At 40.4% G+C, this 26,997-nt stretch overlaps 2 protein-coding genes across 18 annotated transcripts in view, besides 5 other annotated features; one reads left to right on the top strand and one right to left on the bottom strand.

Moving 5' to 3' along the window:
* PEG10 (paternally expressed 10) lies at positions 5–13,375 on the bottom strand. Of its 6 annotated transcripts, none has more exon segments than NM_001184961.1 (2): positions 5–6,366; positions 13,120–13,375. In NM_001184961.1, coding segments are annotated over 1 exon segment (2,229 nt in total). In that variant the 5' UTR covers positions 6,246–6,366; positions 13,120–13,375; the 3' UTR covers positions 5–4,017.
* Positions 2,473–2,592: an enhancer, noted in NCBI's record as "active region_26292". NCBI's record gives its function as "activates an Ori minimal core promoter by ATAC-STARR-seq in GM12878 lymphoblastoid cells {active_cell/tissue: GM12878}" and the evidence as "EXISTENCE:reporter gene assay evidence [ECO:0000049][PMID:35858748]".
* Positions 11,049–11,343: an enhancer, noted in NCBI's record as "tiled region #6132; HepG2 Activating DNase unmatched - State 4:PromP, and K562 Activating DNase unmatched - State 12:CtcfO". NCBI's record gives its function as "activates a minimal TATA promoter and a strong SV40 promoter by Sharpr-MPRA in HepG2 and K562 cells {active_cell/tissue: HepG2 | K562}" and the evidence as "EXISTENCE:reporter gene assay evidence [ECO:0000049][PMID:27701403]".
* Positions 11,413–11,652: a silencer, noted in NCBI's record as "silent region_18381". NCBI's record gives its function as "represses an Ori minimal core promoter by ATAC-STARR-seq in GM12878 lymphoblastoid cells {active_cell/tissue: GM12878}" and the evidence as "EXISTENCE:reporter gene assay evidence [ECO:0000049][PMID:35858748]".
* Positions 12,123–12,172: an enhancer, noted in NCBI's record as "active region_26291". NCBI's record gives its function as "activates an Ori minimal core promoter by ATAC-STARR-seq in GM12878 lymphoblastoid cells {active_cell/tissue: GM12878}" and the evidence as "EXISTENCE:reporter gene assay evidence [ECO:0000049][PMID:35858748]".
* Positions 13,442–14,219: an enhancer, noted in NCBI's record as "H3K27ac-H3K4me1 hESC enhancer chr7:94284793-94285570 (GRCh37/hg19 assembly coordinates)". NCBI's record gives its function as "activates a minimal SCP1, AML or CMV promoter by ChIP-STARR-seq in primed H9 embryonic stem cells {active_cell/tissue: H9 hESC(primed)}" and the evidence as "EXISTENCE:reporter gene assay evidence [ECO:0000049][PMID:30033119]".
* SGCE (sarcoglycan epsilon) overlaps positions 13,567–26,997 on the top strand; it is a 71,154-nt gene continuing 57,723 nt past the window's right edge. For 9 of the 12 annotated variants that reach the window (NM_001362809.2, NM_001301139.2, NM_001346717.2 and 6 more), the window contains exon 1: positions 13,567–13,710. In NM_001362809.2, coding sequence (NP_001349738.1) covers positions 13,602–13,710 — 109 coding nt within the window. In that variant the 5' untranslated portion in view covers positions 13,567–13,601. Of the gene's footprint in view, positions 13,711–25,032; positions 25,095–26,997 lie in introns of all 12 variants that reach the window. The other 3 variants (NM_001362808.2, NM_001346720.2, NM_001346719.2) reach the window with 1 other exon arrangement.

Below are 26,997 nucleotides of genomic sequence, written 5' to 3'. Positions count from 1 at the left end.
ACAGTTTGCACTTAACCACTAAATCTTTATTGAATTTTTATTGTAACAGCAATGCAATATTAGCAAATAGAGAGAAATATAGAGTGAAGAGAATACAGCAATAAAGTTAGAAGGAGGGGTAGGGGCAATGGGGTTCAGTGGTAGGAGGAGGGCTACTGACAGGGGTAAAAGCAAGGGTTTTTATTTATCACTTTTATAACTTCCATGAAAATTTACCATCCATCATTGACAAGTTCATTCTAGCAGTAATTTATCAGAGGTCACTCATCCTCTATTAAATTATTAATCTAATCACCTTTGAACTTTCTCCCACTGGGGTTTTTATCCATGTCCAATTCGCTCTAAATAAGTTGGTCTCCCTGCAGTTCCCTCCGAGTTTATTTGAAATCTTTAAGGATAGCAATTATAGGGTAAAGGGTTACAAGTAAGTACGCATGTCCACTTATAGCGATATCTAATACATAATATTATTCTAACATTCTAAATAACCCCACCCACTTAAAATTACTTAATAGTCCCTCCCACCCTAAAATGCTTATGATTATATATCCCCTATTACTTAAACTTGATTACACAAAGAAATAAAAGCAATGCAATTTTCCACAGACCAATTCAATACCATTCTACAATCTAAAACAACAAAGAACTTTCAGTCTCATCAGATGTGCATTCTCTCTTTAGATGAAAATGTAGCATGGTTCCCGCAGGGCTCTCCATTTCTGCCCAGGTCTTTCCAGCAGGTTGTTCTCTGTTGTCAATCTTGGAACTGTCTGTATCTGATGTGAGATGTCTGTGGTGGATGACAACTGGATCAATTCAGAAGTCCAAGAGGTACCTACAAACTTAAACAGAATTCCAGACTGCACCATATAGATGTGGCCCTCTTATTTTGTGCACCTGCAAGTTCACTGTATTACTTCACGATTTGATCAGACTAATTCTCCTTTTTTCCACTAAGACAAATACCTCACTGTCCAAACTAAATTGACCCTTCATAAATGTATGTAAACTTTCTGTGTTTCAATATCCTAGCATGATAAATTTAGCTAGTTCTCTCTAGGCTTGCCTATCAATGGGAGCTCTTAGATCTTCTTCCTTCTTGATTTAATTAACAATGTAAATTTGGGCTAAAAGTCAATTAATTAATTTTGCCAGTTTGAAAAACTCGACTACTGATTTGCTTACTAATTCATCTATCTCCTTTATGTTTTTTATTTTGCTCCCTTTCTAACTTCTTTAGATATCAAATTCCATTGATTTTTTTCCTTTCTTATGAATAAAGCCATTTTTGTTGGAAAATGCCAAAAAAAATTTAAAGGATCCAATTAACATAAATTTGATTAACAACAAAATAAATCAATTGAGTGAAAGGAAACTTAACCAAACTTCAAAACTATAGAATAATAAATTTAGAATTACTTATCCTTAACATCTACATTTATAGATAGCATATATAGCAATAGAGCATAGTACACACTGCCAAAAAGTTAATCACAAGCTTTAGTAAACAGCCAAATGTGGATCAGGGACTTTCTGAGTTGTTAACCCACAGCAGCATATTTTCCCTAATCGTTCTTGTCGTTGGTGAACTTCTCCAGACTTTTGCTTGCAGTGGTGGCAAATGTCCGTGTGCACATGCCAGGGCTACAGACAACGGCCCATTTCTAGGCACCCTGCAGCTTGAAGATCAATTGACAACTGTAAATTTGACAAAAAAACAACTTGAATTCAAATGTATGGAGGATGAATTGATACTTGAGGTAAACAGAAGTGACTCTTCAAAATAGTTCAGAAGCACAAATGCACCATTTTAAAAGTAATTACTCTAAAACACATGAGTGATTGACAAGCTTTCTGATTCCATTGAAGGAAAAAAAAAGTTGTTTTGGATTAAATAGCCAATTAGGTTTCTCTTTTCAAATTTTATATCCTTTTATATGATTTTTAAAGGCCCAATTGATAGAATTGAAATTATATATGATGTTAAAATTGAAGATGAACAGGATGAATTATTATACAAATGCTCCAGTTCTGAGGAGCCTCTCATTCACAGCATTGTAAGAAGTTCACAGTAAAGGAATATTTTACACTATGTTACTTATCATTTTTACTTAGTTTAACAATAAGAACTGGATAGTGCTTTGTAATTCAATGGAAGTTTTTGAAAGCCTAGTCACCACTTCAAAACACACTAAAAATTATACTAAAAATTTTAAGTGTTTAAACATGCAAGAATAAGAGCAGATGATAATGAACATGTGAAAGATGATGCTGATGAAAAGTGAAACTTCACCGTTAGACTCCTCTTCATGTCAGGCAATTTGAGATATACACCATGTTGTTTTCTACTGCTCAAACTGTGCTTTGGCAATTAAAGCCTGCCTCTTACATCTCTGTGTGTGGCAGCAAAATGGAGTCTCAGCAACCAGGCAGGAAAATGACACAAATCCTGCAGCAGGGTCAATGGCAGTAGCAAAGAATTAAACAGAAAAAGAGAGGTTAGATAAAACAGTTCAAGGTAGTAGCAAGGGACCAGGCTAAAGGAAGTCAGGCAGTCCCAGGTTAGCACAAAGCTTCCAGGGGACATCAGAGGTGTCACTGGGCTGAAGACAACTCTTGTGTTGTCCGTTGCTTTGAGTCCTTTGAGTTGCTTTCTGAGGCTTTTCATCCATTGGCAGCTTCACATCAGCTCCATCCTCTAGAGGGACCTTTTTCATTACGTGGATTCTGATCCTTTTGAAGTGGTTACCATCAAGTAATGTGGAGCTCACTAAGGAAGTCCACATCCTCAAGACAGTGTCCACAGCCCTAATTCCTCTTCTTCAAAGATGTCCCCCTTCCAGGCATAGGAGTGTGAATCTGGGTGCTAAATCATTTCTCCTCTCTCCACACATCCTAATGCTACAGTCTAATGAGGGGACTGAAGATGAAATGCCCAGATGCATATGGAGGCAGACACATGGATAGATTCTTCCAAAACGTCAGCTGGTGCTTTTCCAGCCAATTAAGAACACTCATGAAAATTCTTTCTGAAGTACCAGGACAAATCTCTTAAGAGTTGGGTATGGGATTTTGGAGTCCTTTTGATGTGCTACTCTTTAGCCCTCAAAGGTGATTGAGAGGTGGTCACATTTCATGAACATCTAACAACGCTGGAGCCACCAGTAATCTCTGGTTACCAGGTTTAATGCTTTGTGGAAGCCATCATGGCATGATGATGGTAAGGTGTTGTGTCAAAGCCGGAGTCATTGGGTACATGTGATTTGCACCATGATGTGAAGACATAGTCTTAACATGCAAGAGTCCATCTGAGAGAGCACTTTCTTTTCAGGCCTGAGATGTTTCATGTCACAAGGGTTTTTCCTGCTCCTGGGAGAACCAGTCGAGTTGCTGCTCCTTGAGAATTAACAGAACCATGGAAATGGAGTTTGAAGACGGTGAAGTTTCTAAGGGTGCAGCGAGAGGATCACGGAAGCCTTTCCACACTGCACCGATAATTTTGGCTTCCTTAATAAGGCCTCAGTCCTCCAGTGATTTAAAAAGAGGGTACCGAAACCGCAAGAAAAGTCATGTCCTCCTCCTCCTCGTCTCCCCCTCCATAAAGAAATCAGCATTTCCTGCGTTTGTATCAGCTTCTCTGTAAATGTTAAACAGCAAATTTGGCAGCCTATAATTTAGATGGTGATGGAGGTTTTGGCAGGTAAAACCCAGACTTCCAGGACTGGCTGGAAAGTAAACTTATTAATTATTTTAGTTAGATTGGCAGTCAAGGTGGAAAAATGAGAGATCATTTATTGGCAAATACTCTGTTGCTCTCAGAAAATGTTGAAGGTCTTTTGGTGCTTTAGGATGTGTGCCAGTCCAGAGTGGCCCTAACCTTCCATAGCCGTTTCAGAGAGGATGTGCCTCAGGTGGCCTGAAGATACAGTAGCCTAAAATTTAGCACACAGTCACTGATTGAGAAGCTGAACAGGAATAAATTTTGAGGGCAGAGATCCTGAAGGACATGACAGGTATTTACAGGGTACTGTAAGATGGAGGCGGCGGCGGTGGTGGTGGTGGAGGCGGCGGCTGTGGCGGCGGGTACTGTGGTACCGGAGGCTGGCGGTACCAGTGTGGATTCCAAGTGATCATCACAGGTACATATAGTGATCTTCCTTGTCCGTCTCGTCCCACTGGGTACCAGGCGAATCCTACTGGGTAGGTCGGGTACGCGGCATATGTGGGGTATGTTTGGTATCCAGGTATTTGAGGTACGAATTCAGTGTACGTTGCCAGGTGTGCTTGGTCTTCTAAATTTGGAATAGATAGGCGAGGATACTGATTCTGGATAGTAAAATTGTTTGGAGCTCGGCAATCATAAGAAACTTGCAGTTTCCACCCCCTCTTCACCTGGAGAACTTGGGCTCCATTAGGTGCAATCGTTGGAGTAATTAGCCCATCTTTTACATTTCTTGCCACAAAATCTCGAAGAGCTGCCATTTCAGGTTCGGACAGTGAATACACATGTCCACTGGGAATACTGTGTGCTCCAGGTATCATTTCTATGTGAGGGTCAACCAGGCGGTGATCTGGGTAGACGTGCTCATCTACTGGAGTGTACACATTCTGGACATAGTAATACCTCACTGGTTGGTAAACTCTGTATCCATCTACTGGATAATAGAGTGGCGGTTGTGGTGCTGGTGGTGGGAGCGATGGTGGTATTGGAGAATACATCCGGCAGTGGTAGCGGCAGTATTCAGAATCAAAGACGATAGATCGAGTGCTCCATGTGATATTGGGATCATGTGTGCTCAGCCAGCGAACCCCTAGGACGACAGGGAAGAATGGAGACTGAGTCACATCAAATGACAGCACCTCTCGGTGATCTCCCAGGTCAACTATCAGGTCGTGAGTTTCGTGGACAACTGGGCCCGATGCTATGGGGCGCCCATCAATTGCTTCCACAAGTATTGGCCAGTCCTTGATTCTTAGAGGAATTCCATTTTGAGCAACATATTCGTGATCAATGAAGTTGCCAGAAGCACCAGAATCGATCATGGCTCGGACGAACAGGGTGTGTCTGCCCGGAAGATGAATCTGGAGCATCACTTGCAAGTGTGGAGATGAGGCATCATCTTGTGGGGACCTTATTATTTCTGGCCCGGTCGCTGAAGGTCCCTCTACAGCGGGGCCGGGGAGTTTCCCGCCGGCGAAGACTTTGAGGCCTTGGCAGGACAATTGTCAGCGTAGTGACCTCCTGTTCCACAGTAGAGGCACAGGTTCAGCTTTCTGCGTCTTTCTTTTTCTTCCTGCGTCAGGCGCATGCGGGCACCTCCCACCGGCTCGGTTGGATCTACCTGGTGGTGGCTTGCAATGTGAGGCAACACCAGCGCCCGGGGTGGCGAGCGTGGCTTGCGAGCTGCAGCAGCCCTGGCCAGCCTTCTCTCAATGTGAATGCACTGCCCAATCAGAGCAGACAGCGACTTGGCGACCTCGAGGTGGGAGAGCTCCTCCTGAATGTGGTCGCTGAGGCCCTCGTGGTACTGGTCAATCAGCGCAGGCTCGTTCCAATCCAGGTCCTGGGCAATCATCTGGAAAGCATTGGAGTAGTCGATGACAGACCCCATGCCTTGGCGCAGGCGTCTGATCTTGCGTTTGGCAACCTCTCGCCTCTGAGGGTCTTCAAAGACATGCTTCATTTCCATCATGAAAGCTGGGTAGTTGTGCATCAGGTAGTGGGAGCGCTCCAGCTTTGCTGAGGCCCAACGGGCAGCACGGCCGGTCATCATGCTTGTCACGAAGCAGACACGGACACGATCAACTGAGAAATCCCTGGTGCTCTTTTCCATGAAGATCTGGCACTGGGCCATGAAAGGAGCCAGCATGTCTGGGTTGCCATCGAACTTCTCTGGGAGGTCTTCTGGGCACTCTTCCTCTATTGGAGGGGGTGGGGCAGCAGCTGCTGCAGCACCGCGGAGCTCGATGTCATCATCCTCATCCTCAGGGGTGGGTTCCACTTGCTCTCGAAGGGTGGTGTTCTCCTCTGTGAGCTTCTGCACCTGGCTCTGCAGGTTGTTGTTCTCCTCCGACTGCTTCATGACCTTCTCTCTTAAGTTGTTGATCTCTTCAGAGAGCTCGTCCCTTCTTCGTTCGGTCATGTTGGGGACACACGCACTCTTATGGCCGGTGTGCTTGGAGTTGTTGTTGTTGTTGTTGTTGGGGGGAGGGGGAGGAGGAGGAGGTGGGCAGTCGGGACCCAGGGTGACGGTTGGGGTGGGAGGAGACCTCCCAGCTGTAGCTTCACTTCTGTGGGGATGGAGGCCTGGATCCTGGCCCCCTCTTCCACTCCTTCTTTTTTTTGTTTTCAAAACCCGCTTATTTCTGTAAATAAAGATAAATGTATGTATAAATCCAACTTATACATTCAAAGCAGCAAAAGCAGACACAAAGGATTTGGTATTTAAATTATCCCTTGCTCTACGTGCTTACATTAATAATTAGTGAACAAAGAAAATAAACTCTCAAGAGAAAGTTAGTAATCAGCACCATATATAACAAAAAGCAAAGTACTTTTTGATGTTCAAATGACCTTGTCTTCCTCAAAGGCCACCTGTTCATTATGATTCAACAATACATTATCAACAGCATGCTTACCTTTATAAACTATAAAAGAATGTTGAAACCCTCTAAACAAGTAGTTTTGTATTCAAACACAGCAAGAAACTTCAAGGCAAACATGGATACAAAATCAATTATGCAAATTAAAGCCAAAATAATAACTTTTGTTATTAAAGAAGCCAGGCCAAAAATAGTTAATACTGCAACTAATAGAATCTCATTAAAGCAAGAAGGGAGTATTAAAATCACAATGCATGTATTCATCAGCCCTGTGGGCAGGAGGGTACTCTGGCCAACTGTCACAACCCTATTCCACTGCCACCGAGAAGGTAACTGGTTATCAAATCAAACAACCACCACCACAAAAACCACAGGACTGCCTAAATTACTTTTCTGACCATAATTTAAATCCCCAAAGAAAATTCTCTATGGGACAGAAATGGCACTAAGCAGCAATATGTGTATGTCAGTTTCCTTTGTCATTATGCAGTCATTCAAGAAATAATAATTGATGCCTCCTAGGAAAAGCTATAAAATGGGACATTCAAAGAAGCCCAATAATAGTATACCTCAAACTAATTATGAGGACTTAATTAAATAGTGCAGGTAAATTATGTAGTGAGTATTCAACAATGGTTAGCTGATATGAACAAAGTTATTAATTAGAAAATAGAAAGGTGACTATCTGTGTAAAAAGAGTGGGATTAAAAGAGGGAGGGGCTGCAACTATAGCAACATGGGCATGCATTTCCCACCTAAAGACATTTACTTTTTTAAAAATACTGTGTTGGTCAAACAAATTCAAGGCCTTATTTGTCTTGCAGTTTACCAGTTTGTAATCCATAGTTTTTAATGAAGATTTGTCAGCATAGCCCCAAATGAAGGTTTGTAATGTTAAGGTGGGACAGGGCTGCACTCCTAGGGGGTGAGTGGATGTGTGTGGGGAGGTGGGGGTAGGGTGTGTGTTTAAGCATTCTAATTATGAGTGTAATGACAATCACACACATAAAAATCCTGACACAGTGTCTGCCTGTGTACTTCCTGAAAATACAGTTAAATGCATTTAGAATGATTTAATTATTTTAAATTTTATTAATAATCTCAAGTCCCATATTTGGAAAATTTAAATATATAAAAAGTTTAAAACATAATATGTAAAAGTTTAAAAAAGTTTAAAAAACTTTGATTTAAAAAGTTTAAAACTTTTAAAGAAAGTTTATAAAACTTTTAAATAAACAAAAGTTTAAATACATAAGTTGGTCCTCTCTGGATACTCACTATGTGATTTACCTGCAAAAATGGACGCCAAATAAATTACATAGAATAAGGCCAAAAAGATACACAGTTGGTAATTAGAGAAGTTAGGTGAAAAATAGTTACTATTTTCAACCAATAGAGTACAAGAAAAAAAAAAAGTGGTAATTAAACATGATGCCCAGCCCCTGGCTGTAAAGAAATGCTCCTTCCTCTCCAACTCCTAAACTCTTTAGGTACCTCCCATGCCCCAATGTCACCACCCACAGATACTATCCCTGTGTCCTTTGCAGTTGGTGTAGCCTCTCCAAGGAGTGGCTATACAGCAAGCAGGGTCTTTAAGAGACAGGGAGTAGTGTGACATTTTAACAGTTTTAACCCCACTACTTAATTACTTTAGTAACTTAGGCTATAAAAACAACAAATAATTGACATTCAAGATAAAATATTCAAGTTTAGAAAAAATTAGAAAACACAATAAACACATCATAACCCGTGACATTCAGTATCATTTCCAACTCCTTAAAGACAATTGTATTGCTGACCCTGACAATATAACATCACAACATAATGCAATTTTTCCTTATTAAATTAGGAGTTTTCATGTCCCATTAATGAACAACTAATAACCATAAGTAAGGTGACTAAGGTACCACTTTTGTCATCTAGACATTAATATCTTCAAAACCTTGAGACAAGACTTCCTAAAGAGCATTCACAGCATGGCCTGGTGCAGCCTGACCACTTGTCAATCACGGCCACTAAGTGGGGCTTTATTGAAGCCCAGGTCTGATGGTTTTATTATCTGCAAAAAACAGTGATGGGACAGAAATAACAATACATTAGGAAATCAGCAAATAATTACTACATGGTTTAGGGAAATAAAAGATCAATAAGAGTTAAAAATTCAAATACCTTTGGTATATAAGGAAGGTAGTTGAAAAGTGAAAAGAGACCAGAGTTAAGATGGGAGGGGCTGCAACAATGGAACTTGGGGGTGCATGCCCTCCCCCTTACCACCCTCCCCACCCCTGCCCCCCTGCCACCAGACATTTCATTCTTTTTTATTTTTTAATTTAGTTCCTGGTCAAACAAATTCAAGGCCTACTTTAGCCTGCAAGGTCACTAGCTTAAGACTTCTGACCTTTGCCAATAACAAGCCTGAGGCCTTCATATGAGGGTTGGCAAGTTTAGGGTGGGACGTTAAAAGAGACAACTGCCCAGGGAACAGTAGTTTATCCATTAAAAGTAATAGGGTAATGGGCAGGCAGGTTAACAGTGCGTATAAAAATGTTTAAACAGCGACTGAGGCAGCACAAGTTAACCTGGGACAAGAAGCATGTTTACTTGATTTGAATTATAGAACTATGTATGGCTCCTTAAACTCCCCCTTAGTAGGGGCTGCATTGGAGGGGAGGGGTCAAGAGGTCTCATTCCTGAAAACTGAAAGGACAAACTGCATAAAGCCAAGTTGCCTAGGACAGATGCCATCTTTACATGATAATAATTTCAGTTTTAGTCTTTTTAGGAAATAAATACATTTGGTTAATTATTGACTCTTCACAATAGCTTGGAATAATTTCTATTCCACAAACACACCAAAGAGCAATAGTAGCCAAAAACCATAAATGAACATCCTGTTAGGAAATGACATCTCATTAAGCAACTCTTAGTTGCTTCATATTTTCAAATGTCCAATTTTTTAGTACTATCTTGTACTATTTATGAAATGCAAATTCTCTTAATATGCATGTTATTACTGTTGTTTTGAACCTCTTCAATATGCAAATATACAATATCCAAAGAGAAGGGAAAATTACTTAAAGCTGTAATTATGATAAGCACAAATTTTCCATAGATTGTGTACTTGTGGTGGGGAGGGGGTATGTGACAGAGATTTTTGGGAGCCAAAGCCCCCAATTCCTCCCCTACCAAAGTCCTGGCTCATGATTTGTAATATATGGAACCAGGTTTTAAAATTTCTTCATTCAGCTGGAAACACAATTCTTACATGGTACCTCTTACTAGCAATCAGTTATAAATTTGTTTTATACAGTTGTTTAATTTTGCAAGCTGAAACAACCTATATTTTGTAATGTGGCCACTTTATATTACATTACACAAACTTTAATACAATATGTACCATTAATAATACACTTGCCCCAAATTTAAATTAGCTTTTTATGAAAAAAGCTAATTATTTGGAATAACTAGCTTTTTATGAAAAAAGCTAATTATTTGGAATAACTAGCTTTTTATGAAAAAAGCTAATTATTTGGAATAACTAGCTTTTTATGAAAAAAGCTAATTATTTGGAATAACTAGCTTTTTATGAAAAAAGCTAATTATTTGGAATAACTAGCTTTTTATGAAAAAAGCTAATTATTTGGAATAACTAGCTTTTCATGAAAAAAGCTAATATTTGGAATAACTAGCTTTTTATGAAAAAAGCTAATTATTTGGAATAATTAAAATTAATTTAGTTGCTTTGTATTATAATTACAGCTTATATCATTGGAGTTTAAAAACACATACACTTTTTTTTTATTCTGTTAAATGTGAGAGATAACGCAAACAAGGCAACCCAGGACAGCAAAGCACCATAGGAAAGGAGCAAATCAGAAGAGACCTACAGACACCAAGCAAGACACTGAATAAACCAATTTACTCTGGTCATTTAACACATATTTAATGAATGCCTACCATGTGCAGGCACAATTTATTATACATAGGCAAATAGGCTAGGGTTAATCACCTAGAGATTCAAGGAAAACACCCAGCTTCATAGGCACGCAAATAAAAGCCTTATCCTCACTCAGAGGCCAAACCAACAGCACCAATTTTGTATCCACCAAAACATCCGATTCCCAAAGGTCCACTAGTGCCTCTAAAAAAACCTTAAATGTGAAAATATTTTTAAAGTTTTTAAAAATAAATTGTTAAGTTTTGGTTTTCATTTGCAGTAAAAACATTTGGCTAAATTGCCTTTAGAGGCACCAGCCATGTCAGTTTACAAGGTCCCTTCATAAGCCACTATCAGGAGTTTAAATTGTGGGATTATGTTATTGAATATATGCAAAGAACATATTAAAAGTGCTCATAAATTCCAGTTATAATTATTATTGTTAATTGTTTTATTTATTATTCTATTAGACTCTAGTAGCCAAAAAGCAAAACCAACACAGCAGAGAAACCGCAGGGGGGCGGGGCTGTACAGCCAGGGCTCAGGCAAGGAAGGTGCGCAGGTGCAGAGGACCGGCGCCTGAAGGGAGGGGCTGAGGGTTCACACTGCGCATGTGTGCTAGCCGGCTCTGAGGGAGGTGGGACTATAGGCCAGCCCGGCAGAGGCAGGCTTAGGGAGGGGCCAAGCCTTGGAGAGGCGGGGCCTGAGCAGGCTACCTAAGAGGAGGCGGGCCTGGGGAGGTGGGATCTGGGTGAGCTCACATCAGAGGAGGCGGGCCCAGGAGAGGCGGGGCCTGGGCAGTTCACCTCAGAGGAGGCGGGCCCAGGAGAGGCGGGGCCTGGGCAGTTCACCTCAGAGGAGGCGGGCCCAGGAGAGGTGGGGTCTGGGCAGTTCACCTCAGAGGAGGCGGGCCCAGGAGAGGCGGGGCCTGGGCAGTTCACCTCAGAGGAGGCGGGCCCAGGAGAGGTGGGGCCTGGGCAGTTCACCTCAGAGGGGGCGGCCCCGGGAGAGGCGGGGCCTGGACAGTTCACCTCAGAGTAGGTGGGCCCGGGAGAGGCAGGGCCTGGGCAGCTCACCACAGAAAAGGCGGGCCTGGAAGAGGCGGGGCCTGAGCAGCTCACCTCAGAATGAGGTGGCCAGAGAGAGGTGGGGCCTGGGCAGGCAGGCGCTAAGGAGCTGGGAGGAGGGGCCTGAGGAGGCCGCATCTAGAAGGCGCGCTCTGGGAAGGCGCGCTGCAGGGGAGGCGCGCTCTGAGGAGGCGCTGTAGGAGGAGGCGCTAAGCACCGCAGAGAAGGCACACTAGGATGGGCGGGGCAGGCCTGAGACTGGCTGCTACAGGGCTGCAGAGTATCTGCACACCCCCCCCCCCCGCCGCCAGAATCCCCCCTCCCAAACCCCTCCCACCAGTCACCAAAGCCAGATTCATTTCATGCAGCAAGAGCAATCCACAGATCCAATTCCCCCGCCATACTCAGCAAACCCACAGTTTCCACAAACTGTTGCTGGACGCTGATTCGCGCCACCACAACTACACCGCCACTTCAATCAAGCACAAGTAGGCAGGCAGCCTGCTCTGCCATCACCAAAAGATTCCCATTTCCACTCCAATCAGTGCCCCTCCACTCCACTGCTATAGCGGGAATGGTGTGGGCAGAATGTTAAACACTAATTTTTGCCCGGGGCTCCATTTTGTCTACCAGCACCATCATGCGAGAACCGTCCTGCAGAAAAATAGAGTGGGAGCCATTCCAAAAGGTGAAAGGGTGGGGTCCTGCTCCAAGAAAACAGAGGAATTGTACTCCGCAGCTCATGTCCCACTACGGCTGCTTTATTTGTAGCGCAAACGGTCTGCAGCTCCTGTACCTCTGCAGCTCTTACCACTTTGTAGTGCATCTTAGGTGTGAATTGTTCCGCAGCTCATGTACCTCTGCAGTTCATGTGCCTCGCAGCGCAATGAAGCGCTGTTGTCGGGCTGGCTAATCGCATCGTTTTTGTAGCGTTTTTTGTAGTGCTACTCTTCTGCAGCTCAGATTTTGCAGCGCATGTAAAGCGCAATTCAGTTTTCTGTCTGCAGCTCCTATATCGCTGCTCCTCGTTCTGGATTGTAGCGCCACTGAAGCGCCCATCCGTCAGTTTGTGGCACATAAAGCGCCCATCAGTTTATAGCGCAATGAAGCGCCAGTTGTAGCTCCCATCAGTTTGTCGCCCGCGTGAAGCGTGCTTGTAGCGCATCTGAAGCGCCAGTTTGTAGCGCATTTGAAGCGCTTATCTGTTTGTAAAGCATGGCACTTGGTAGCGCATTTGAAGAGCAAATTGCAAATCGATCTATAGCTCCTGACCGTCTGCAGCTCATCACTGTCCGCAGCTCATCTCTGTCTACAGCCCGTATCTGGACTTGGTCCTGGAAACCCAAGCCTTTAAGGCTTGGTTTCCCCATTTGTTTTGGGGTACAGCCAGTGAAGGCGTGACAAGTTTTGCGTGGAGACATTCTGGGGTGCTACTCCATCTCCCGCAGCTCCCGATAAGCACGGGGAATGAACGTGATCTTTAAAAAAAAAACGTCCTCACCGCATACTCACCACGCGAGGACTCCTCTGCGAAGACAGGAAGGATGGGGTCCCACACCTGAGCCAGGCGCGGTCTCCACTGGGTGCTCCGCAGCCCGGAGTGGCTCCGGACGACAGCCCGCTCAGCGGACCTTTCGCCAGGCTCGGTGGACCTTCTCCGCTGTTCTCCTCAGGGCGCAGTCAGGTTTCTTCGACACACACCAACCGAAGTTGAAGCGCGTGTACCAGGAGCGCAGACTGTGAGCCTTATATAGGTTGCACCGAGGAGGGGGGCGCCAAATCCCAGCGTGCTCCGCGGGCTAGGGGGTGGAGGGGGGTGCGGGGATGGGGGATGGGGGTGGGGGCGGTGGCCACGCTGCAGTGGCCCGCCGCTAGAGGGAGTACGGGATTACCGAGGGGGTGCGGGATGCTGATGCTGAACTGGCCAAGCTGGGAGGGAAGAAGAAAGGGAGGGGAGGGGAGAATCGAGGACGGACGGCCTAGCCAGGCCAAGAATGCAATTGCCCCGGTGGTGGGAGCTGGGAGACCCCTGTGCTTGGACGGGACAGGGTCGGGGGACACGCAGGATGAGCCCCGCGACCACTGGCACATTCTTGCTGACAGGTTAGTGGCCTGCGCGCGACGTGGAGGTCCCGGGGCCAACAGGCCGCCGCCTCCCCCTCCCCCGCTCGGGTTCCGGGCGCCTGAGCGCGCCCTTTGGGCACCAGCCTCTCTTTCTGTCCCGGACCCCACCGTACCCCTCCTTCAGTACACCCTGTACCCCATTTCCCCGGCCCAGCTTCTCTCTCCCCAGGCTTGACCCCTGGCCTTTTTTTCCTCTCCGCGCCCCCGCGGGCCCCTCCCTGCTCTGCGGGCGCAGAAATTCCATCTCCAATTCCTGTTCCCAACATCCCCCTCCCCGCCCAGCCCCAGGGTAGTCCTCTCCCGATCCCTGTAGCAAAGAGCTGGGGGTCGTTGCCTGTTTTTCTGGGGGGCCCGTTTCCCCGCGATTGGGCTCTGCGACCGCGATGCGAGCCAAAGGAAATGGGTGTCAAGCTGCGTCCCCGCTACACAAACACATCTTTTTTCCTTTTCTTGATAGTGGTAGAGAACACAAAAATGTGACATTTAAAACACCGAATTTCCCCCTCTTGCTAAGTGCATTTCTCGGTGACGGAAATCTCGGTTTTCTTCGGTTTTACGGAGCAGGGAAGCGGAATCATGAAATGCTGGGAGCTAAACAGGGCGTTCAGGTCAGGGTTAACCCCGGCTGGAGGCCAGAGATGCTGCCGTACCGAGTGCGCTATTTCCAGAAACCAAAACCAATTTAAAACAGCTGTGGATGCTTCCAGTGTGTTTGGCGGGCTTTGAAGGCTCCCAGCTACCGACTTTTGGTGGCGATTACGAGGTTTACACAGAGACCTTGCTTCCCTTGCAACGTTACATTTTCCTAAATCTTGTAGGGTGAATGAATGCGTTTAGTCACGGCAACCGCACGTTTAATCCTTTCCAGCGGGTTGCCGAGATTCGGCCACAAATATTTGCGTGCATTTGTACTATGAACATATATATTTTATGTCAGGGAAAATTGCAGTGGCTGATAAGACGCTAAAATTCTGATGAGGAAGGATGCTAAATAAAACCTTAACGCGGATTCCCATCTAAGCGCCTCAGTGTCAGGTGCTTGGGAAACTGACAATCTGTTGATGATCTTAGTAAAACAAGTTTAAGTTAAAAGGGAAAACCAAATTGTCTACAGCTGAGTTAGGTTTCTGAAACACAGATGAAACGCTTTCATATTTGAAGAGCAAAATTGAGCACATTTTAGTAACATTGCTACGGATTATTTTATACTTGGAATATCAATAAGAATTTGACTTATTGTCATAACAACGTTGCAGACACCGCACTTTAAAAGAGAGCCTTTCTAGGAATAAACAAAACTGTAGCCCATTTACTGAGATTTTACTTTTTATTAGAAAATGCCCACTATCCGGAATATGAATGAATGAAATGCAGCTTTTTAACAAAGACATTTCCCTAGGAAGTTGGGTAAACACAATTATACTTTTTAGAAGTGCCTTTTAATTTAATCTTTAGGATGTTCACCCTCTTCTGCAAGATAGAATAATTCCAGGATTTCTTATGCTTGGTAGAGTACTGTTCTGGTGACCGCTGTCAAATTCTTACCAGTTTTGTTTGTTTGTTTAAATTCGAAAGTTACTTCACCTAGTTAACTGAGACATTATTTTTCTAAAAATTGAGATTTAAAACCAGTATAGATGAAAAGCAGGAAAAATTAAAGTTCAAAAATCCATCTTAAGACTTTAAAAGTTTGAACAAGTTTGAACCAATTTGATTTTTTCATTTCAAAATGCTAACCAGGACTTTTTTTAAAAAACGTAATTAGTATTTTACCATAATAAAAGTAATTTCAGGTCATTGTACAAAATTCAGGAGAGAAAACCCTAGAAAACTCTAAAGAAAAGGTCACCTGTAACCTATTCACCCTGCAATAACACCAGTAAACATTATAGAGTCTGCTTTTTCAGACGTTCTCTATGCATATATAGGTAGCTATACAATAAATATTTTTCATAGGATTGCAGTTAAATACTTTCTAAAAGTTAAAAACAAGATCAAATTAATTCTCCTCGATTATTTTCTTTCCAAAGAGCCTTTAAATGTTAAATAACATTAAGTTTGGAGAGCTTTCTTTAAAGGAAATAATATTAATTTTTTAATTAAAATTTTAAATGAACAACCTTAGTACATAAATATTTAAAACCAGAAAACTGAGAAGAATTTTCTCCCATCTCACTATTCTAACATATTGTAGTTTTTTATTCCTCTACATATGAAAATATTTTCACTTTGCTTAGAAATAGAATTTTCTAAGGGAAAAAACAGCATCAATATATAAGTAATTTAGATAAAACCTTTTTGTTATCCAAAAAACAAAACAATACTAAAAATAAAACAGAAAGATAACATTAATAGAGCAATACTTTAGGTAACATTTTTGTGTTGTCTAGAACAACAAACATTTTCAAAACCAAAACCAAAACCAAATTAATAGATAAGAACTTTAAACATATTTTGGATATTTAATATCTATGTGAATTTTGGATTTTCTCAGATATTTATTTCTGGTGTTGACTATTTCTGCCCATTTTGCACAGGGTTGCATATACAGCAAAGAGGAGTTAATGTGTATTATTTATTTTATCAAATAATAACTGGGCTTCGTATTTAGACATTTTATCTATTTTTATGAGAATTTGCTGTAGATCTACGAAGCTGTTGATTTAACACCTATATTTAACTTCTAGTATGTTAAGAAAATTGTATTTCAAAACAAAGTGGGATTTTCACTTGTTAGATAATAACTAGACTTTCTCTTTGGACATTTTACCCATTTAATGAAAATTTGCCATGTATTTATAAAGCTGTTGAATTTACCTTATGTATTTAGCTTAAGTTCTAGGGTTTTAGAAAACGATTTCAAAACAAACTGGAATTTTCACTTGTAAAATAGTAATTGTACTTTCTATTTGGACATTTTATCCCTTTTTAATGACAATTTGCTATAGATCTATGCATCTGCTGACTTACCACATATATTTGGCTTAATTTCTAATATAGAGAAAATATATTTCTAAGCAAAGTAAAATTTTCAGTTGTCAAATAATAACTGGACTTTCTATTTGGACACCTTATTCATTTTTAATGACAATTGCTATGGATTTACGAACCTGCTGACTTACCACCTGTATTTGGCTTAAGTTCTGGTATGGTACGGAAAATTTATTTCTAAGCAAAGTACAATTTCCAGTTGTCAAAGAGTAAGTGGACTTTGTATTGAACATTTTATCCATTTTTACAACAGTTTGCCATAAATCTAAAAGCTGTTGATTTGCTTCATGTATTTTACTTATCCTATAGTATGGTGGATAAATTGCATTTCTAAGCAAAGTGGCATTTTCACTTGTCTCACAGACATTGAAAATAAGGGACAACACCAGAAAAAACTGGTTAGCGACAACCTCAAGGAAATAAAGATAACATGTATCCAGTTTCTAACACTAGTTTTCCACTGGTGAAAATCATGCAGTACACAAAATATTGAAGTAGTGAAGAAATCCTGACTTGTTAAAAAAATTCCCAAGTCAAATATTCAGATTGTTTCTGATTCTAATAAGTGCAGTATTTATAGATCACATTTTCTCCAAAATACCCAGCCACCTTCTTCCTTTTTCTTTTTTGCTAATTATCCATAATCTACCCAAATCCTTTCCTTAAAACTTACCCTTCCATATTCTGTAAACACCTAAATGCATATTCTAACACTTATTTCCTACCTCCAGTGTAAAAAAATGACTCTAGGGGAATTGATGATATGGGTCTGTGTTCGTTAGAAATTCTTGGGCTGGAGGGGAGATCGCTTAGTCCATAGCTTCACAGAAATATCAATATGATGGCTGTTTTCTTTCTATCCCTCTCAACCTCCCCAGCAGAGACAGACAGACAGACAGATGTGAGGAGCATACATAGACTAACGCACACTCCATTCAGGCTTTTTCTAAACTTCGGAATCCAGTTCTCCAGTCTGTTATCTCCCTGATTTCCAGAAATATTAAGCCTAAAGTAGCAGTACGAGAAACAAAAAAAAAAAATAATAAAGAAGAAAAAGCCAATGTTTCTAGGTATCAATAAGTCTTTTCAAGTGAATATGTTTCTGATTCAAGTTTTCAGGTTGATAGGATCAGATAGAGTCTCAATGCTCTTAAATGCTATTTCACATGGATTGCTTCCAAGCCAAATTCTCTCTTCATAATTCCCAGTGTTTTAAATTCTGTAACCGTATTAAAGACAGTATTAAGTAAAAAACAAATCTCCAGTTTCCACAGACTGACTCTGGAACAACCATTTCCATTGATGTTGTATCCCTTCTAGTCTTTGTTCTGTGTACATAAATATTTGTATATAATTATAATTTTAATATGTATAGATTTCTTACACTTTGTTTTGAAAGATAAGTTAATCCTGCTTTCTGCAAAGCATTTGTCAAGGATGCAGGATGCTCTTGTGTATGAGGTGGTGTGCAGATTAATTAGCAGTATTGCTGTGTGAGCGGGAGGCAGACTGAACCAGCACCGGCGAGGTGTATACGTTCTTGGGTTTGCGTCAGGGTATCGTCCCTGGTTAAGGATCATAAGCCTTTGCCCTGAGTTTTGTCTTCCTCAGCATTTGTACGAATGACTTTGATGAAGATCTAAGAGGCTTGCTTTAAAATCCATGGATTAATTGAAAAGGGATAGCTGTTAGAAATAGGTAACAATTTAGAGTTAACATGGTTTTTAAGTGGGCTGCAATGCTGTGCTGAAAGCAAAAAAATATTTTATAGTAGTAAATGCATCATAATTCATTGGTATGGAAGTATGGAGATGACTTTGTATGGTGGCAGTTCTTTAGGAAAATGAAGGTTATTATGAACCAGTGGCATGATATGGTTGCAAAAGAAAAAAAAATTAGTTAGGTTCTGGTAGTAGTATAGTGTCCATATGTCACAAAAATTAATAGTACCCTGCTCTAATCAACCACATCTGTAGTATTGTGTCCATTTCTGGCTGTCACATTTAAAGAGAGATTTTGACAAATTAGACAACTTCCAGAGCAGTCCATGGGGATGTTGAAGGGTCTGGCAATCCTGTCATGGGAGGTATCCTCACAGGGTCTGGAAGTGTTTAACTTGAGAAGACTAAACAGTCAACATGAACTCTCTGATGTTTGCTTCGGAAAGTAGAACTAGCATCGGTGGGTTAAAGGTACAGATAGATTTCAACATGAGGCCTTCCTAACATTGCAGCTCAACAAAACAATCAACTTTATTTATTCTGTTCTTTAAATATCAGAAATATTCACCTTTCTTGCAATGAATATTTAACTTGAAGACCTTGATAACATTTTAGTGTAGACCTGAAAGATAATTGTGATGAGAACATTTTATTTTTCTGATAAACTGTCTAAATAGCCCTATGTGTTGCAAGTTCATTTCTTACAACTTGAAAATAGCTGCAACAGGGTAATTTAACACACACCCTCCTATCTCTCCCATTCTGTTTCAAACATGAAAACCTGAGAAGAAGATGAAAGATTCCTTTTCCCCCTGCAAAGTGTCTTAACTTGCTTAATTTGCTTCCTAGAATTACTCTTTCCTGGAATTTCTTGCTCTGTCCAAGCAGGCTACTGGGGCTGAGTGGCCGTGGATGCCGAGGGTACCTAGGGCTAGAGGGGGCAGGCTGGCTGCTGGAGCTCAGCTGCCTCTTCTCCAGAGGGAAATAGGGTCCCTTCTGCAACCTCCCCTCCCTTGTGATGTATCTCCCTACAAAACTTAACAGTTACAATTTTTAGCTTTTACATAGCAAAATAAAATATTTTTATCAAATGTTTTTAACTTCTGTCTGTTTCAGGTTAGCCTGGTTTCTGCCTGGCTGAAGGGCACATTCTTAGTGTCTCAAACATGTCTTGAGGCAGATTTTTCTTTCCTGTATGGTGATCTGCCTATTGATTGTTTATTTGGGTTAGTATATCAAACTTTGAAAATATGATTTCTTAAAATGAATTTGTGGATTATATAGGGCTTCCTTACAGGACCCCTTTTGTGAGTAGTTTCGGATTCTACAAAAGCTATTTTTATACCCTGGAGTTATTAGTTCTTGCAAACTAAGAAGTCCAATGAGAGAGGTGAAGAAATGATAGAAAAATTCTTCTGTCATATTTTCTAACTTTTCCCTGCAGCTTTCACTTCTGCCTCACACTTAGAACTTTCTCCTCCACTCCAGTTGTTAGGTCAGAAATGCAGTCACTTTCACTCTGACTGTATGAAGTATATTTCTAATGTTGAACAACTTTCTCTTTTCCTTATTCTCTCTTTCATAGAAGGGCCCCATGCACTTTTGTGGGATTGTAATAATGCAAACAGCAGTTTGAGATGGCTTGCATCCCTGTTGTTGAAGATGCCACGGGCGTTCTTGGGCTGAGTTCATATTTCCAAGACAGAAAAGCTCAAAGATGAGTTTCTGGCTTGTCAACGCTCAGCTGATCTACAGGCGGCTACTTGTAATTCCTTGAATGCAGTGCTTGCTTGCTCTGGCTCTGGCTCCCCTGCTTTGGAAGTAATAATCCCCAGTGTCTACATTTTAAAACTTAAAGATGTTACCTTGGGAAATAAATAGGTAGCCTCAAAACATTAGTTGCTGGCATGATTATTGTTATATTCTTGGAAACAATATGTTAGTAAAAGCTACAGTGCTGTTTTCTTCTTCGGTCACTCTTTGGTAGAATTTTATTTTATTTTTTGTATCTTCATGTAAGAATTTTTGTGCAATGTTTATGCAATAGCAGTTTAAGTGCATTTGATTATTTAAAAACCACGCATGTTTAGCACATTTCACTTTGTATCTAATTGTCTTAGACTAATCAATTTTTTGGAATAGATCTTTGGCATCCTGTACCACGGGAATCGCCATGGTATCTGTTGTGACATGTACGCAGACTCTTTTCTGATAAATGAAGCCGCTCATTTAAAAAATGTATAGGAGTTAGGCAGCTCTGGTATGAATTCTTTCCCATTCTTTAGCTTTTCACTTCCTTATCTGATCACCACTTTGATTATTATGGAGATTTGGGGTTCGCTGCAAATTTGAAAGAAGGGATCACAGTAATTTTCTTACAGCAGTTAAAGTGGAATATTTGTTACCTATTTCTTCAGCAGTATGCATGGAAGTATAGTTGCTCTTTTACCTTGGAAAGCAAAATAAGAGAAAAAATAGCCCTGAGGTTTTTTGTTTCTCCTTCTTAGCAAATTCATGTTTCTTGCTGTGCAGTAAAATGACATTGGCTTTTCTCTTCTATGAAATAGTTAATCAGTGTAGCACTTTTAACATCTTTCATTTTCTGTAGTTACTGGGTTCATTCTCATGAAAGACCAGTACTGCCGAAGTAGAAACAGAACAGATGACTACATGTGCTTATCAGAATTTGAAATGTACAGTATTATTTTTCATCTAACCGTTTTACTGCTAGAAGTCTAGCTTAGAGATATAATGGTGAAGGTGCTTCAAAGATACAGATAAGGATTTTTATTATAGTGTTGATAATCATAATAAGAAAACTAGAAAAAATCCTGGTCATCTTTACTAATTAGTAATTCTTTTTTTTTTTTTTTTTTTTTTGGAGACAGAGTTTTGTTCTTGTTGCCCAGGCTGGAGTACAATGATGAGGTCTTGGCTCACTGCAACCTCCGCCTCCCGGGTTCAAGTGATTCTCCTGCCTCAGCCTCCCAAATAGCTGGGATTACAGGCACCCGCCACCAGGCCCAGCTAATTTTTTTGTATTTTTAGTAAAGACGGAGTTTCACCACGTTGGCCAGGCTGGTCTTGAACTCCTGACCTCTGGTGATTCTCCCACCTCAGCCTCCCAGAGTGTTGGGATTACAGGTGTGAGCCACCACACCTGGCCAGTAATTCCTTTATTCATTCATTTTTTTGAGTGTTGACTAGTTTTGAGACCCCATGCTGGATGCTAGGGAATACACAGCTCGGCTATCGTGGAACTTTTTACACTAGTGGGGTTGACAAAGAACAGGGTTTTTTTCAAGATTATTTGATTAATCAAACAATTACACATATAAATGTGCCCTTAAAACTATGGTAATTGCTATGAACCTGACTAGAACTTGTAAGTAGAGGATTTGGCCAGATAGGGGGTTTAAGGAAGGCTCTTCCAAGGAAGTACTCAGATCTTAAGGATGAGTAAATATTAGTAAGGAGGGACGGTATATATGAGGTAAAAGGAAGACCTCTGTAGAGGCCCTGGGGCAGGTTGAATATGGTCAACAGAAAGTGCTAAAAGAAGTCCAGTGGCGTTGGAGCAGTAAAAGGGTAAGCACAATGTTAAATGAGGCTAGACAGGAGGTCAGGGAACAAATTTTGCAGGACCTGGTAGACAACCTTAAAGGATTTAATCTTTATACTAAGAGCAATGGGAAAATCTTTGCAGGGATTTAACCAGGACATGATCAGATCTGCATTTCAAAAAGAGCACTTTAGCTGTTTGTGAGGAAAAGGTTGGAGGGGTCAGAATAGTTTGCAGCAGACTAGTAAGCTCCTTTAGTAATTGAGGATAGAGTTGATGACCTTGTGGGCTAGCGTGGTGATGGGGAGATGAAGATAGGAGGGATATTTTAGGGGGTAAAAACCAACAGAAGTGAGTGTTGCATTGAATTTGGTGCTAAGTTTGTCGGGAGGAGATTTCAAGGATGATTTCCAGATTTCTGTCATCTACATGAGGACAGATGGTGGTGCCACACACAGGATGAAGAGGGCTGGAATAGGATCAGTTTTTAAGGGAAAGAGTATGGGTCCTAGTTTGGACAAGCTTAGTTTGAGGTGATGATAAATAAATTATGATTGAGACACATAGCAGAAAATGATGTAGCCTTAAAATGTGCTATCATGTAAACATGTTCAAGATATATTCTAAGTGAAAAAATGTGATCATATTATGCAAAAAAGAGCACGGTATGTGTTTTTGTGTGTACACACATAGAATATGGAAAGACACGAGGACGATTAAGGGTAGATACGCTAGGCAGTGACATTGGTGGGATGGCAACAGGGATATGAGGGAGAACATTTATATTTTGTACCCTCCTGGTTATACTATTGGAAAGTATAGTACAATGAGAATGTATGGATTTTTATAATTAAGGAAATTAATAACAATTTAAAGCAAACATACAATATAAGAATATTTCTTTTTTAGAGGTTACTTAGTTGGAAAGAGCATGTGAGCATTGTTATATTTTTTATTGTGAACAGAAATTTTTCCTGCAGCTTTACGTCCCTAACCCAATAGCTCATACACTTGGCTTTTTAATCCTTTTCCACTAGATTGCACTATTACACTAGATTTTATAGTGCCTGTATACTGTTTTGTATTCTGCTTTTCACTAATTTTATTATTTTCACAATAGTCCAACATTGTGCAAGTGAGGACATTAAATTGTAATGGTGCATATAACTGTTGCTTATATGCATTGTTTTTGTTAAAGTTTCCACTGGTGTTCCTGTTTCATCTGAGATATATAGTTCTGTTCCCATGAGTGGAAACCCAGACTTATCTTCTCAGGCTATTTGAGCAAAGGAGCAGAAAATACCAAGAGAAGTGAGTAACCTTCTCTTCTCCATTAACTATTCTGTCAAACCAAAACTTCTTATATTGAACGTTTAACTTTCCACTCAATTTTGATATTGTGTTTAATGCAGTTGAGTCTTGCTCACACATAACTTTTTGCTTTTGCTGCATTGCTTCCTCTGAATAAATATCTAAAAGCTTATGAGAGTCAGAATATAAATATCGATGTAATTCATTTCTTACTACATCAGGCTTCCCTCAAAAGGGTTAAACTGCAGCCCTCAACTTGGCTAAGTGCAGAGAATGAGGATTGGCTGAGATGCCATCTTTTTAGTCCTTGGACAACGAGTGTAGTGGAGTTTGGTATGGCTGTCGCCTCTTCTGAGTAGCCTCTACAGTTGACTCTACTATATATTTCTATAGAATATCATTTTTCATATGTGTCATGATTGTGGAAAAAAATGAGAGTGCAGTATTATTATATAATGCCACCTGTAGTGATGATAGTTTTTTTTCATTTGAAGATATATTTTTAAAAACGATTGTATTTAAAGAAATCCAAAATTTTCTTCAAATTAGTTGAAGAGTAAATGTAATAATAGTTTTCATTTTTGGGGGACATCATTATATGCTAGGCATTCTTCTAAAGTTCTTAAATACATTATGTCATTTAATACTCAACAGTATGTCACTGATATGGGTACTATTCTATTCCAGATGAGGCACAGAAACATTGAGTAGCTTGCCCAATGGACAAAAATTAGGATTTGAACCCAGACACTGTCTGTAAAGACTGATGTTAAACACTACCTTTCTGTACTACAGTTTTATTTCACTCTAAAGTCTCTTATATCTAATTTTTTTAGCTTCTTCTGGCATTCTTCATTTAAAGCCTTGCTGTAACATTTCTTTTAGGATTATCTTTTCCCAACTCCTTTCAGAGGTTGGGGTAAACAGTCCTCCTCAGTAAAGCCATTTTTTTCCCCATAGGTTCCAAAACTTAAAGCTTTCTTCTTTCAACAAATTGTTTTTGTTCTTGTTTTGGTGCCCATAGTGCATGAGATTAATTTCCACTGCACAGTAGTAGCATAGTAATGGTGATGGGAACTTTGGCTTTATATATGAAAAAATATATATAAATAAAAATGTGTATATCATTTTGTGTAAGTACATTCTTTGACTGCACAACAAAATCACCTAACAATGCATTTCTCAAAAAGTATCTCCATTATTAAGCAATGCATGACTGTATTTGGGGGTAGTATTGATGTGTTCATGACATAGACTTTGCAGTCAACCACGAAATGGGTTAAAAATTCAACTCTGCCACTTAGTAAACATAAGACCTGGGGTGAGTTAACATAATTTTCTTAAACTTGGTAGTCTCATTGTAAAATAGAGTGAATACTGCCTACTTAACATAGTCATTGTAAGGATTACATTAGTTAATATGTGTACAACCCTTGGTGTAGTATCCAGCACTTAGTATTTAAGACATTGTAGCTAAAGAAAAGTAATGGCCAACTTACATTTTTTAGAGAGAAAAATGTAAAAATAATGTTTTGATGTAGGAAACAATTTTAAAAGAAATGAGGAGAATTGCATAAAAGAAGGGAAGAGAAAAATGTAGAGGGTCAGGGAGCAGCGTAACAACTTGGATGGGGATGGTAAGAGAAGGGAAGGGATGCCGGACACGTGAGCTATATAACCAACTTCTGAAAACAAAGTCTTTCATCCCCCTTACAGTGGAATATGAAAGAGACAAATGAAGTAGTGGACAGAGAAAGACTTGACAGTTTGCTTTTAAGGTGAGTATGATAATCAGATTAAATTTCATTTGGCATATCCGGCTGTTTACTTGGACAGTGATGTCTGAATAAGTTATTATTTATTATTTCCCTTCCTTGATATTCTGATTAGCTCATCAGCAATCAGTCACTATTCACAGCTCTTCAATTACTTTTATTAAATAGCAATCCTCTCCTCCCCCAGTCAGCAAATTATTCAGGTTTGGGAAACAGTAATATCTCTTCAGAGAGTGCTTGCCCCAGGCCAGATGAAATGTAGTCATGCCGCTACAAGACTCAAAATGAATCATGGAATCTTAAGACAAACTTTAACTGTCATATGGTTTCTAGGGAAGGTGAAGGCATGCCAGCCACCTTTGGATTAATTTAGGCTTTGATGATTTAGAAGGGGGAACATTGAAAAGATGATTAAATTATGTACAGTGATATCCTGGCTAATTGTGTGAATGCCTTCTTAGCTTGGGCTTTGTAAATGCAAGATGCATATGATGTTTTGTTTTTGTGTTTATGAACTAGAGTAAAACTCACACCCAGATATAATTGTAATGTAGATTACCATGAACCTGGTGAGCACAGTGGCGTTCTCTTCCTTTTAAGATTCCTGAGGATAGTCCAGTGTCTTTGGAGGATGTCCAAGAACCAGTCTCTACAAGGTTGACATATCTTTACACATTAGATTTAATCTTGAAAAGTTGTAGGTAGGATACATATTTTAAATATTGAGTCATATTTTTCCGTCCTAGAGAAATCCATTCTCACATAAAAAAATGCATTGGTCCTTTTCTAATGAAAATTAAACTTTAAAATACTAGCCTTTTTCAATGAGTATTCTGTACTTGTCAATGTACAGAATACAATACTTTTCTATACAAGAAGTTAGTCAAGTGGATCCATGATATTGGACACACAATTAAAAATAAATAGTTATTTCCCTATTATTAAAGTTTCTCCCTCAATATGTGGGACTTGGTTTAAGCACATCATTCGTGGCATCGTGTCTTGCCTTTAGTGATATTGCCTGGGGAGTAGAGCCATAAAACATTGTCCTTTTATTGGGATTTATTGGACTTCAGTCTTCTGTGGTCAAAGTAGGACTTCATCTGGATCAATACAAACTTTTAAAAAATGAATGTGTTCAAAAGCAGTGCTGGCCTTGAAATACAGCAATATCTGTGTGTTGTGTTTAAACTATTCTACCCTGCCTCTCTGTTTAAACAATTGAGACACCAATTCAATTTGCTTTTTGAATCCTGTAAAAGCCAACTAGACTGCCCTTATGCAGGACCTGGAAAGTATGAGCAATGATGCATTGATTCACTAGCCAAGGACATGTAGTGGTGTTAAATCTTATGCTGGGTTAGTAGGATTCTAAAAGCAAGAGTGTAAGAAAAAATTCCATAGACCTAAAATTATCCTAGTAAATCCTTTAAATAGCCCATAAGGTATAATATGTGTAATTTTGTATATAAAACTCTGAACAATAATTCTTATGCACAACATAGTCTGAGAACCACTGAGCTAGAATAAAGGAAGGAACAAAAGAGAAGCTGCCTGGGCACTCACCCCATTCTTTCTTTATGGTAACTACCCAGTTCATGGAGAAATGGAGAGTTCTATAGAGTGTCTGCTTGCCTGCAGGATTTACTTCATTATGCTTTAAGATTAAGCCCCTATAATCTTCAGACACATTAATAGATGATTTGGTTTTGTAAGGATTGAATTAGACAGTATATGTGAAAGTACCTTGCTCAGGAGCTGGTGATGGGAAGCAGTTAAATCTAAATGTTGCTTGTCATATCCACAAATACATTGTTCTTTGGAACATTGTAGAGAAGAATTTGGCCACCTGTTTCTTGTCCTTCTAGTTGGGATATTCCACTATCCAGCAAGGTCTTGCATGTTT

Source organism: Homo sapiens, chromosome 7 (genome assembly GCF_000001405.40).
Source record: "Homo sapiens chromosome 7, GRCh38.p14 Primary Assembly".
Lineage (NCBI taxonomy): Eukaryota > Metazoa > Chordata > Mammalia > Primates > Hominidae > Homo > Homo sapiens.
This window is presented reverse-complemented; position numbering and strand designations above follow the sequence as displayed.